The 13991-nt window shown below is 34.7% G+C and overlaps 1 protein-coding gene across 10 annotated transcripts in view, besides 1 other annotated feature; it reads right to left on the reverse strand.

The window, feature by feature from the left end:
* The window catches only part of CSMD3 (CUB and Sushi multiple domains 3), a 1214012-nt gene that overhangs the window by 232452 nt on the left and 967569 nt on the right, over nucleotides 1-13991 (reverse strand). The gene's annotated exons all lie outside the window — the stretch shown is intronic.
* Nucleotides 12339-12526: a silencer, noted in NCBI's record as "fragment chr8:113479947-113480134 (GRCh37/hg19 assembly coordinates)". NCBI's record gives its function as "represses an EF-1alpha promoter that drives an FKBP-Casp9 reporter gene in an ReSE screen in HepG2 liver carcinoma cells {active_cell/tissue: HepG2}" and the evidence as "EXISTENCE:reporter gene assay evidence [ECO:0000049][PMID:32094911]".

Genomic DNA, 13991 nt, shown 5'->3' on the forward strand with positions numbered 1-13991 from the left:
TGAGCAGTGGGTACACATGGACAGAAGGATGGGAACAAAGAGGAAGAGAAGCCAGAGCTGAAAAACTACCTATTGGGTATTATGTTTAGTACCTGGCTGACAGGGTTATTTGTACCCCAAGCCTCAGTGTCAAACTTAATATACTCATGTAACAAATCTGCACATGTAGTCCCAAATCTAAAATAAGAGTTGAAATTATAAAAATAAGTAAGTAAATAAATAAATAAATAAATAAATAAATAAATAAATAAATCAAAGCATAATCAATGCCTAAGTCAGGGAAATTTACAGTGAAAGATTTTCCTAGCATTTTTTTTTCAACGTGCTCATTTTACAGATGAGGAAACTGAGACCCAAAGACATCAAGTGACTTGCTCAGTTTCACAGAGCTTCACATAGCTCTTAGATTACACAGCATGTTGCCTCAGTGGGAAAACTGTCTCATGGCAATTCCTCAATCAACTGTAGATGATGCAAGCTGGGATTTAAAAAAAAAGGAAGGCATAAATTTTATAGTTATTTTTTGTCTCATATTTTTGAAAATGCTGCTGGAAGTTCAGCTGATTAAAAAATTAACACAGCAAAATTTTTTATTTATCAATGGTCTAGTTTTATTCATATAAACCACACTAGCCCTATACTCTGACCACCTGAGTTCTACACTGGAATTATTTGGAAGTACATCCAGACAACACATAATTTCCTCAGTAAATGTAAAACAAAATTTGGAAGCCGGAAAAAAAATGTGGAAAAGGATTATGTTTGAAATATTATAGAAGAAAAATGAGCAGTAGAGAACTGAAAGAAAATATCTAATTATATGCTTTATAAGTAGGTAAGAACTATGAATGTGGACCTTATTTTTCAAACAGGAAATCCACAGAAAATTATAGCAGAAATCAGCAAAAATGAAGGGAGATAACTTGGTAAGTTTTAGAATTTAGCAAATAGGTGTGAAGGGCAATCACCAGACAGAGGAAACTTAGTAGCAGCAGTTTGTGGAACTCAGGTTTCATTAATTAACTGCAATAAGCACTGAGTAGAAATAAATAGTTCTATGAAATACTATTAAGAAAACATAAATGTGCTTTCTGAAGAGAGGGGAAGCTTATTATCTAAAGAAAATAAATGGAAAAAATACCTGTTTAGTAGTACAAAATATACTTAAAATCATATTTCTAAAATGTCATATTTCTTAAAATTAACCAACAAGAAAACAAAATATTGAAAAGCTATAACTATTACATTTCTTGTTGATACTTACAAAAATGTTATGGTTTAGGGTGGGTCAGATATAATTATCTCTTTTTTATAGATGAGATGTCAGAAAGAATAAATAACTTACATGAGATTACACATAAGGTCTATAATTAATACTGAAAGCTAGATTATATAGCTATAAATTTTGTCCTTTTACTGCAGGGTACATGTTTTAGGTTTGAACAAACATGTCTAGACACAAACCCTCATGAAATATGATTACAAACTCAAACATGATGCAAAGAAACCCAAAAGAGCTATTAAAGATAAATACAAACATTAACTTATCAGTCAAATATGAATTATAAAATGGATGTGTTCCTGAGAAATTATAGGCCAAATTAAAATTCAAATATAAATCTCTTTTACAAAACTGATTTATATGTCATGAGATAATATTATGTGACATTCATTAATGTTTTCTCCCTCTACCCACAGAACCTTGGACTTTGCATCCTTCTTCGGATAGGATTCTAATTCTAGTGCCCCTACCTCATTTTAGAAGTAACAGAAGAGAAGACACAGTCAAATTCAAGCTTCAAAGGGGAGGTGTGGGCATTAATATTGAAAATAATTGGACACATGCTTGGCTAGTCAGATGGAGTTTTTCCTCTGCCCTATTTATTTTGTACCACCAACACCCTAGATAGAAGTTTCCCTGCATGGGGAATGGAGTGAAGAGAATTCACAGGCGAGTGAGAGAACTGGATTGTTCAGAAATAGTAAGCCTGTACAATTTTATCAAGAATTTACAGTCTAAACTGAATTCTTAAAAGGTATAATGCTACTAGAATCCTACAGCATGCTCTGTGACCCATATTTCCTGCAGAATGATATTTCAGTTAATTCTACGGAGAAATGTCTTTTAAAGCTCTTATATGAAATGATACAGTTCTCATATCACAAATTTAAATGTTCAAGAAATGTAATTTCTCATCTTATCCAGAGTTTTATCTAAATGTCTAAAATGTAGAGAATGCCAGGCCAGAGTAAAGTTGAGGAATTTAGGAGCAGGGAATAGGTGAAGAGGAACTGGGAAGAGGCTAAAATGAAGCATTTAGGCCTCCTCATTCCTTTCTAATCTCAAAGTGTCAGTCCAGAGTTTGTGGCTCCATACTCCTTATCTTGGCTGTAAGATAACTCCTGGACTAGCTTCTCCCAGCTGCATATGAATGTCTAAATGCTTAGGACTGTGTCAAGATTGATGCTTACCCACATTTTTTCCAAGAATGGAGGAGTGATCAACTAAGCAAACATTTGGTTAATGATTAAGCTAATACCTTGGTAAATAAATATGGTAAATAAGTATCTGGAAGAAACATAGAAAATGTCCTCCTCACCCAGGATAAAGGATTACTTAATTCATTGATTAATTCAATTGTTTGCATTTTCAGTAAATACATATTGAGATTTGTTTTAATGTGCAAAAAATTGTCAAGCTCTTTTATTTTTTCAATAATAAAAAAATACAACCTTTGATCACAAAGAGATGACATATTAGCGCAGTATTTTCATTGAGCTGCAACTTTGTAAAGACAGTCCCCTTCAAATACGTACACACACACACACTCACACCCACACACACACAGAGAAACAGAGATAGAGAAAATATCCATATTGGCTTATTAAAGACACTTAGCATCCTTAGAGAAAATAAGCCTAAAATATTTTTTAAACCCCATGTTTCCAAATTTTGCTGGACTTTATGTCCCTGTCCTCTCACCCAGATATGTTAGTTTACCCTCCCAAAGTCTTGGGTAAAGTTGGTTTAGTGAATTCTAAATAAAGAAATGTCTCTAGAGTAGATAAGAACATTTCTTCCAGCTGTAGTAGTTTGAAATAAACTTTTCATTAGTACATCACACTACTTCCTGGTATCCTTAAATGTCAATAAGCTTGTGACTATAATTTTTAAAGTAATTATATGCTTTTGTCCAAGGAGTAGTTATTTCCACCAACATGAAGCGTTCTAGGCAAAAGGCCAAGACTGCCAAGCTTGCCAGATATTCTCTCACAAAAAGAGTTGGAAATTGGTATTGTGATTTATAAATCAGTCCCTTTGGGTTTGATGAGTGGAAAACAATGTGAACCTGTCTCCTGAAGTGTGAATACTTTCTGAGGTAGCTGACAACACTGAATTTCTGAAACTGCAAAGCTGGTGATTGGACACTGAATTCATATCTCAAGTCTAGACATCAGGAAGGGCTTTGACAGCAGTTCTCAAGGTCTTTGTAATATCACTTGCTCCTTTCTACTCATGTGCCTGCTGCCATCATTAGAGACCATGAATTACACTAGAATATTGACATACACACATACTCAGGCACATACACAGATCTCACTCATCCCTACTATCTTCTACAAACAATGAATGCTTCCTCCCTTCTCCACTGCCTAAATTAATCCCCTCATTGTTTCTCATCCATACCTCTGAAACAACCACTCTCTCCCTGCCACAAATAATATTAACTAAAATGTCCAACGGGTTTTGTTAATCCCCTGCAAAATAGCTTAATTAGTTACTATGGTACAGGAGATACATTTCAACCTCCTTCTCATCCTTCGATTTTCAGCATACTGCAGTTTTCACTCATCTCCCTAATCTAAATTTGATCCTCCTGTTATCCTTTCTCATTATACTTTGGGTTTTTTTTCCTCACCCTTCATGCTCACTAGCCAAATTTGTGCTCATAATTGTGTGTGTGTTGTGTGTGTGTGTGGGGGGGGGGGGTTTATTCAATTATGTTTACAAGGTAATTCTCAAAATATTTAATCAGTATGACGTGGGTACAGAAGAGTCAAAAGTGTTGCTAGGCTGGGGAAGGGCCAGCGGCCAGAGAATTATGGAGCAATTTTAGAGATTGGAAAAGTGGCTATTTGTCAGTACATGTAAATGTTTCAAAATTCTAACAACTGAAAATTGTTGTGCCCTTAAGTACCAGGTGAATATTATCCCTGGGTTATCTGACTACTCAATTAGACAATATACTAACAAGAACAATTAAGCATTTCTGTTTCATTGGGCATTAGGTAGCCTCAGCCTAGCAAATAATTCTCTGAAGCAAAGTGAGAACACAATAAGCATTTGTTGAATTGATTTAACATGGCATACCAGGCACTTCATAATCTGGTCTCTGCCTTCTTTACCAGTTTCAAGCATATTAGTTCCTGACTAGTACTTTGCTCTTCAACTAGAGATAAAAATATATAGTCCCTTTCAGAAAACATATGCCATATCTCTACATCTTTCCTTGTGTTGTTCTTTTTGGCTGGAATGTCCTTCTCCAGCTAACAATTACACATTCATTAAGACTTAGGTCATGTGCCATCTCATCAGATCAATGTTTCTGTCACGGTTATCCCCATTTCTCAAATCAGCCACCAGCCTGCCTTAGCTGTTCCTCCTCTGTTTACCCATAGCATGCTTACAAACGGTAGTTTCCCACATCGTAGTTTATAGCAGTTTCCACATTCTTCCTGAATAAACTGTTTAATTTTCTAATTCCTTTTCCTGTGATCTCCTAGAGGGCAGGAACCATTGTTTACATAACCTGAACATTCAGATTCTAGCTCAAGGCTGGATGTATACACACAGTGTAAATAAATAATTGAGCAAATTAGTGAATAATTGCCACTTACAAGCAATATAATATAGATCTTTACCCACAATGAGGTTAGAATTATTTATAGCACATTTCTACAAATTTAGAGATAGTAAGGAGAAGCAAAGGGGTTAAGTAAAAGAGAAAGCAGCATGAAGTTTCCATACCCCTACACTAAGAACAGCAAACATACTAGATTGAAAGTCAAATTCAATCTACAGCTGAGTTTTATTTAGTCCATACTGTGTTTTAAATGTTATAGAATTAAACTACCTTCAAGAAGGCATGGATTTTTTAGTTCACCACTGCACCCACCATCCCATATGATCTCTGTCCAGATATTGATTTCATTTATGTTATCTACCATTGAATGAAAGATTTTAATTTGAATTTTAATGGGCAAACTCTGTTACAATAAAATAAATATTATAGAAGATTGAAAAACATTTGTTATATAAAATATTGCTAAAATAAGCAGTATAATAGATGAAACTTTGATAGTTAGTCTGGTATTTTAGTATAAACCACAGCTTCAGTGAATTTGGAAAATATTCCAGTTAAATCTCTGTTCGAGTTTCTGCTTCTCAGCAAAAGCCGCTAGGTTGAAATGTTAAGGGTTTATAAAGTTATAAGAGAATACTATTCAAATCCCTCTAACTCAGAGACTGGAATCACAGATTTTTAGTGTGTGATGTGCACCATATGTTTGTATACCAAGCACAAAATAAGCACTATCAATCTTCTAACCTATTTGAAATATAATTTATTGAGTTTTCAAATACATTATTTCAAAATGCAAATGTTAGCCTTTGTTAAGTCTAAAGTAGGTAATTAAATCATATGAGTCACCAAAACAGAAAAAAACACCAAACATGTGTGTTTTAATTATAATCAGCATTGCATTGCAGTGTTAAACAATTAGAGATCGTTATACTATCCTAAAACATCAGTGGGATAGTGTCAGAAATGATGACTATTCCTTGTTTACAAAAGACTCCGCCTGTGGCATGCTGTGTGCTTTTATAAATCATTTATCTTCTAGCTTTAATCTGTCATGGTATGAAATATTACAAATGTGATTCTGCATGACAGAATAATGAAATACTAAAAAAGGCTGTATGTAATGACTTCTCCATAAAAAGTTTTCCAGAAAAAGTAATGCATCTATATTAATATATATGTATAACTTTTTTCTTTTTATTATTTCAAATATTTTCCCATATCAACATCTTAAAGAGAAGACCAACAATTTTATAGTGAAACTTTGCAAGAAATGTTTACTCTCTATATGAATATTCAGGCTCATTCAAGGAATTATTTTGTGCCTAAATACCAGCAGGGAAACAAAGTAGAAAGTCAATTTTCTAGCATTTGTAATGAATTGAAAAATGCAAAGTTATCTTGGAGGTATTTATTACACTTTAATGATAAGAGTGAGAAAGTTAAAACTGACCATCACGGATATTCCGATGCATTAAAAAAGAGAAAAGAAGAAAGAAAATTACAGAGAAGAATGTAGCATGCCATTGTTATATAACTAATCTTACTTTTGCAGAATAATAAAAGATTCAGAATTTAGGTTAAATTTATAGTTATCTTTGGAATTTAATGAAATTATATGAATCCATGTACTTCTGTAAGCAGATTTTTGGTGCAACTTTCCCATACTTTAATTCTCTAGCTTCCAGTAGCATACTCTTTAAATTCAAAAGTAGATTTCACCTATTTTTTAAACTAGGAAGTCCCTTGGGGACAAAAGTTTTTATTTTATATATCAAGAAAATGAGGACCAGAAAGCTTAAGTAATTTGCTTAAAGTCACATGGCCAATTAGAGGCAAACGACTGCAATCCAGACCTTTGGATCCCCAGTTCACCTTGTTTCCCACTATTTCGCAGTAACCGCTCAATCTTCTCTTCAGTTTACAATTGTTACCATCATTGACTTTATGACATTGAACCTCATGTCAAAATAATCTTCGGCAGCTTTATGCCACCTGGTATGAAATAGCCTAACAGGACAACTGCAGAACTTATCACATTGGTAAAATGAAGCAAAAACTAAAAACAACCATAAATGGGGAAAGTACTAATATGTTGAAATGTCATAACCACTGTTTAAACAAATTGTTGTAAAATGTCTAGCTTCATGTTCCTGCACTATATTTTTCAGCTTTCTTCTGAATTATTAAGCATAACTTATTTTCTATAACTGCCTTACAGCAGCAGAAATATGAAACATAAACATCGGCACTTATACACAATGAATGTGAATAGATAACCATCATATGAATCTAATCGATTATTTGACAGTTATTTTGAAAATTCAGCTAATCCCATTCTAGAGCATATTATAGTGAAATTCTTGCAAGTTGAAAGGAAATAACTTTGCTTAAAATGGAAAGATAATATAATAACAACAGAAAGATATATATGACTATATATATGATACACACGTATAAATTACAGCTTATATTAAAACATGTAAAATCATTTTTAATGTTTAACTGTTGACAACTTTCAAGCCCCACCACTCCTCCTTCCCCTCTGCCTCATATCTGGGCAAGCTGATTAGGTCACCTGAGTGCTGCCTCTTTGCCACCAGTGGTAAGTTTAAATCATGCAAGCACTCACCTGTACACAGAAACTCTCACCCCACTGCTACTCCATAATCACAATAAAACTCCACAGTCAATCTCCCTTCTCTGCTCTCTCACGCATTTTGAAACTGCTTGGCAGTTTGCCTTGCTCTCCCTAGAAAGTCTCATTTTGTGAGTAACACGGCTTTTCATACTTCCTTGTGCTTGTGTGGTATCAGTCTTGAAATCCAAACCAGGGCTGGGCGCAGTGGCTCCCACCTGTAATCCCAGCATTTTGGGAGGCCAAGGCCAAGGTGGGCAGATCACAAGGTCAGGAGTTCAAGACTAGCCTGATCAAAGTGGAAAAACCCCATCTCTACTAAAAATACAAAAATTAGCTGGGTGTGGTGGCACATACCTGTAATCCCAGCTACTCAGCAGGCTGAGACAAGAGAATCACTTGAACCCAAGAGGCAGAGGTTGCAGTGAGCCGAGGTCATGCCACTGCAATCCAGCCTGGGCAACAGAGTAAGACTCTGTCTCAAAGAAAGAGAAAAAAAGAAGTCCAAACCAACTGCAGAGTGACTACAACAATGAATGCAATGAGGAAGATGTCTAAGTGATGACTACAACCACTAGAGGTCTTTCTTCTCTTGTTTTCTCTTGGTAACTGGCTCTGCTGTCTGCTGGCAAACTTGCACTTAGAGCTATGCTGCTTTGTGCTGCATTTTCTGAGTTTTTCCAAGTTATCACAGTTTTAACCAATCTACATCAGATCTTTTAATAACTGGCATTTAGAACCAAGGGTTGGGTCCTCATCAAAGTGACCCTGTTGTATGTTGTAGCCTGGACTTATCTGTGTACTTTATAATGAATCACATATCTTGATTCCAGCAAAAACTGTGACTAATGTTAAGTTCAGAGAAACAACTCTTACTGTGTGGCTATTGGTTGTGTGTGTCAAGCAGTCACCGGCCCCTTTTCTAGAGAAGACCCAGGGAAAATATTGATACCCTGTGCAATACATGGGCTCACTGGATGGTGGATTGTGAGAAAGAAGAGCTACCATATGGTGTGCTGAGTTCTAACCTCCTAAAAGAAGATGACTCACTAAAACCCTATAAAATGCCTTTGCTGGCTGGGCGAGGTGGCTCATGCCTGTAATCCCAGCACTTTGGGAGGCCGAGGCGGGCAGATCACGAGGTCAGGAGATCGAGACCATCCTGGCTAACACGGTGAAACCTCGTCTCTACTAAAAATACAAAAAAAATTAGGTGGGCGTGGTGGCAGGCACCTGTAGTCCCAGCTACTCAGGAGGCTGAGGCAGAAGAATGGAGTGAACCCAGGAGGCAGAGCTTGCAGTGAGCCGAGATCTTGCCACTGCACTCCAGCCTGGGCGACAGAGCGAGACTCTGTTTCAAAAAAAAAAAAAAAAAAAATTGCCTTTGCTGATATTGCTATCCAGGTCTCTGTTGTAACAAAGAATCTAATCCTCAGGCTTTAGAGGAAAACACATATGGCACCTATGTGGAACAACTGATGAGTTGATGAAAACTTAAAATAAACCCAGAGTTCTTAAACCTTATAAAGCAACCATTGTTTCTAACCTTGAAGTTACTAATTTGAGATACTTTGGAGGAAGAAATTTATTAATTATGAAATAATTATGATTAATAATTAATATAAGTAGGGTAAGGAGACCTTCCCTCCTCTGAAGTTACATATAGTAACCCTTAAAGCAGAAATGAAAACAACAATAAACTACATACAGGTTGAAGAAATACAAAATTAAAAGAGAAGGATCCACAATTTGACCCAACTGGAAATCCAAAATTTACACAAAAACTTATAATGTAAAAATATGAAATGTCTCTGATTGGTTTTTATGTCTCTACAATATGGGTTCTAAATTAAGTGCAACATCTACTGAGATGCACCACTTAGCAAACCTTCATGGCCTTAATCTATACAGAGGCTCAGATACAGTTATTCCTGGGGATCCCACTAAATTTCAATAAGGCACACCCTATAATCTAAAGGAGATATGAAATATAAAATGGTGAACAAAGAAGTATGCCTCATTTTAATCATCAGCGTTATTGCCTTACCTAAATATCCCACAGTGGTCATGGAAGCTCTGACCAAAAAGGTAGTAAAATTAAATAAAGTCTTTGGCACTTACAATAGGCTTGACAAATTAGGACTCTATGGACTTTTATCTTCAGTTAAAAGTTAGTTAATATAGCCCAGTGTAAAATAACATAGGGCCTTTAAACATTAAAACCCATTTTAGAAAAAGTATTTAGAGAAGGGGTGATTATCCCCACTGTGTCTCCATTTAGTAGCCTATTTTAGCTGCTTTTAAGCCTGGAAAAAATTAATGCCCCCTCGTGGTGAATTACTGCAACTTTCATTCTGTCGTCTCACATATTAAAGGCCTCAAAATCAATACTATTGAAATTACTGACTCCATCCAATTATCAGATAGTAAATATTCTATTATCACTGATTTGAATCATATGTTCTGTTTAGTGCCTGTTTTAACAGCCTCTCAGCCTTTGCCTTTTATGGGATAGAATACTGTGGCCCACAGCCTTACCTCGCTACCCATGGGTTTTCAACAGTCTTTGAAATGTAGGTGGGGTGAGAGGCAGATCATGTTCAACCAAATGGCCAAGCCATGGCTTGAGATCTAATTATATAAATTATACCCTCCAAATTAAATAATATAATCATAAGCACACATGATAATCATATTTCCCTTCTCTAAAATGATAGGCTTAAAAAATAGGGGTTTCCTTTCTTATAGGCACACAAATAACATAGTAATTTCTGCTAATTTACATTAAAACAACCATCAGTTAGAAAAAAAGAGGCTGGGTGTGGCGGTTCACACATGTAATCCCAGCATGTTGGAAGGCCCAGGTGGGTAGATCACCTGAGGTCAGGAGTTTGAGATCAGCCTGGCCAACATGGTGAAACCTCATCTCTACTAAAAATACAAAAATTAGCTGGATGTGGTGGTGGGCGCCTATAATCCCAGCCACTTGGGAGGCTGAGGCAGGACAATCACTTGAACCCAGGAGGCGAAGGTTGCAGTGAGCCGAGATGGCACCACTGCACTGCAGCCTGGGAAGCAGAGGGAGACACCATCTCAAAAAAAAAAAAAAAGAGTTCCCTGTTCTTTTCGATTGCTCCAAATCTAAAAAGTAATGACAAATAGTAAACGCAAGTTTTGAATAAACACACATATTGTGAATATGTGTCATTGTTAGATAAATTCAGTATTTAAAAAAGAGTAATAATTGGTTTTAATGCAATTGTACTGTTAAAAAGTGAAGTGTCATATACTTTAAGTAAAAAATACATAAAAGCCTTTATTGATCTTCTTAAGTATTCATTCATTACTGAAAATTTCATACTGGGGAAAATAAAATGCCAATAAAATGGTTTACTGATTGAACAAGCAAACAAAAGTAATCTAAAAACAATCTGTCCCTAAAATATGGAGAAAATTGGTGGCAATAAATGATTGAATTAAGCATAAAAAGAGGTAACCACAACATAGACTGTGTTGCTGAATTGTTAAAAAAAACTCACAGACATAAGACCAAAGAGTAAATGGTCAAATATATGTGTGAATTTTAAGGAAAAATATACACAAAATGAACTGCTATTATTTTTAACATAAAAGATGAGAATAATTCATTAATACATATCCAAGTCAAAACTACATTAGCATGTATTTAAAAGTCCAGATGCCCAATGGAAAAACATATATGTATACATTTAGAGATAGTATGTATGCATCTTATTTTCAATCCATTGTTTTACTTTTTTCTTCTGAATTACAAGAATACCTAAATTCTCAGATTACCATTTACAGGTTAACAATTTATGCAGAAATGTGAAAGATGTGATATTGCAAAAACAAATCACACTTAATAACCACTATGTAATTACCTAAGTCTATCAGCCCAAAATAAAATACATTTAGTGAATATAATAAAAATTAATGAAATAGTTGCTACTTATCACTGTTTTAACATAATACTATAATAGAGCTATATTTTTTAAAAAATTATAATCTTATAATGTGAGTAATATCCTAAGGAAAGATGTTTCTAGATTAACTGGAATAAAAATACTTCAATGAGAAATAAGAAAGATAGTGGTTGTGAATAAGAAATAAACAAAATACATTAAAGTAGAAAAGAAGTTCAAGGCAGTGGCAGCTACTTTTTTAAAAAGCCTCTCCTACAGCAATATGCAAAAGGGTTTGGTAACTCTGTGTGCCATTTGCACATAGTAGACTAGATTGACAATTACTTCAGATGATTTAGGGATTCATACATTTGAAACATGCAACCAAGAGACTGTGCCAATAATAAAAGATAGGTGAGAAGGCAGATTACTGGGGCAAATGTAAGGTTTTTATGCCCATTTTGAACATACCAAGTGTGAAAACTAGTCGGGAAAGAATAAGCTCTGTACACTAACAAATATGTCTTCGGGGTGTGTCTTCTAGGAGGTAGAGCTATCTGGAATGCTAAACATGAAATTAAGTCACCATCGACTATACTGGATATCCTCAGGATGTTTTACATGTTGGAATTTTCCAAGAAATCTGAATGTCAGTTTGCAGTCCACACAGCTGATGCGTGCTTTATACAGCAACTTATATTAAGATTTTCTACATAAAATTATGTATATATATAGTTCACCCTTTATAGTGGATTGAATAGTGTTCCCCAAAATTTATGTTCACCAAGAAGCCCGGAATGTCACCATATCTGGAAACAGGGATTTTGCAGATGTGATTAGTTAAGGATCAAGATGATATCATATTGGAGTAGAGTGGGCCCTAAATCCAATAGGTGGTGTCATTATAAGAGCAAGAAAAAACAGACAGACACACAGAAACAGACAGTTAGGAGAAACGGTCTTGTGAAGATGACGTCAGAGATTGGAGTAAACCAGCTATAAGCCCAGGAACCTCAAGGCTTGCTGGGAGTCACCAGAAACTAGGAAGAAGCAATGAAGGATGCTTCTCTAGAGCCGCCAGAGGAAGTGTGGCATTACTGACACATTGATTTCAGGCATCCAGTCTCTAGAACTGTGAGAGAATAAAATGAAGCCACTAAGCCTGTGATACTTTGTTATAGTAGCCTTAGGACATGAATACATCCTCTTTTACAGATAATTCCTAGAAAGTAAGAAGAGGATGACTGAAGAGAGATAGAGGTGGGAGAATAGGAAGGAATGATAATTCCAACAATATTTCATGTGAATATTTCAATATTTCATGTGAAATTAATCCAGATATTTTGTTGCTAATTGCAAATTATTTCTTCTGAATTATAAAGAGGTCTTCCCTCTGTTTTTAAAATTTCATCTCCTCCAATTGCCTAAAGTATTTTTTTTTTTTTTTTTTTTTTACCAATTGATCCACCTCATATCTTCAGCTTTGTCTTCTCTACTGTGTCTTTCTCTTTGGGCTTTAAAATAAATACCCCAGTATCTGCTGGAGTAAGAGAAAATAAACAAAAACCAAACATTACCTGCTGATTTATACTCTACTTTGACTGTCATCCTATATATTTATGTTTCTTCTCAGCCAGGATTGTTAAAATAGAAATCTACACATTTATTCCCAAATTTTACTAATTCCTCCCTCCCCGAAATCTTATTTGGACTCCTATACTCTAGGTATAATACATATTAACAAAAAATTTTCCCTCTGACAATGTTAACAGTTCTCTTACATTCTAAAGCATGTTATCTATACGAAATGAAAAGTAAAATAAAATTGGTCTTCCATGTTTCTGACACTTAAATATAATTCATAAAGTCTTAGGCAACTAAACCATAAGAAAAAACAACTGGTGATTAAGCATTGAAAAATGAAGAAAAATTAAATATATTTTATTGATAGATAAGTAGGATTTTTTAAATCCAAAAAGCCAAATGTATTAGTCTTATATGTAGAATAAGGAGAGTAAAATATTAATAAATTCTATCTAATTGATCCAGAACTGTTATTTTTCTGAGAGTAATAAAACAAGTAGAATCCTGCAGGATGAATATTTCCAAAATCTGACCCCAATACCTGAATTCAAATGAAATTCAGTGATGCTCATGAAAACATTATGAATTGACATTTGTCTTATTTATAAAAACTAAAAGATGGCAATTGACTGACAAAGAGTATTTACTCAATCAACCAGTAAAGCGAAGTAATATTATGCACATATTTATTAGGTTGGTGTAAAAGTAATTGTGGTTTTTGCCATTAAAAGTAATGGCAAAAATAACTTACAGGCATTTAATTCTACACCAGGCAAAAAAAAAAAAAAAAAAAAAAGTAATTTGGTACCACATGACCTGTAAGAAACACAAGTAGTTCATGTGGAATTATCTGAAAACTGTCATCTGTTCTTACATTGAAGGAATAAAAATGTTCTGTTAGACTATTTCAGAGACAATATGGCATATGTAAAATCATGTAGATGATCTTTCATGGGTGATTTAATTTATTTTCATGTGTAATGT

Source organism: Homo sapiens, chromosome 8 (genome assembly GCF_000001405.40).
Source record: "Homo sapiens chromosome 8, GRCh38.p14 Primary Assembly".
NCBI lineage: Eukaryota > Metazoa > Chordata > Mammalia > Primates > Hominidae > Homo > Homo sapiens.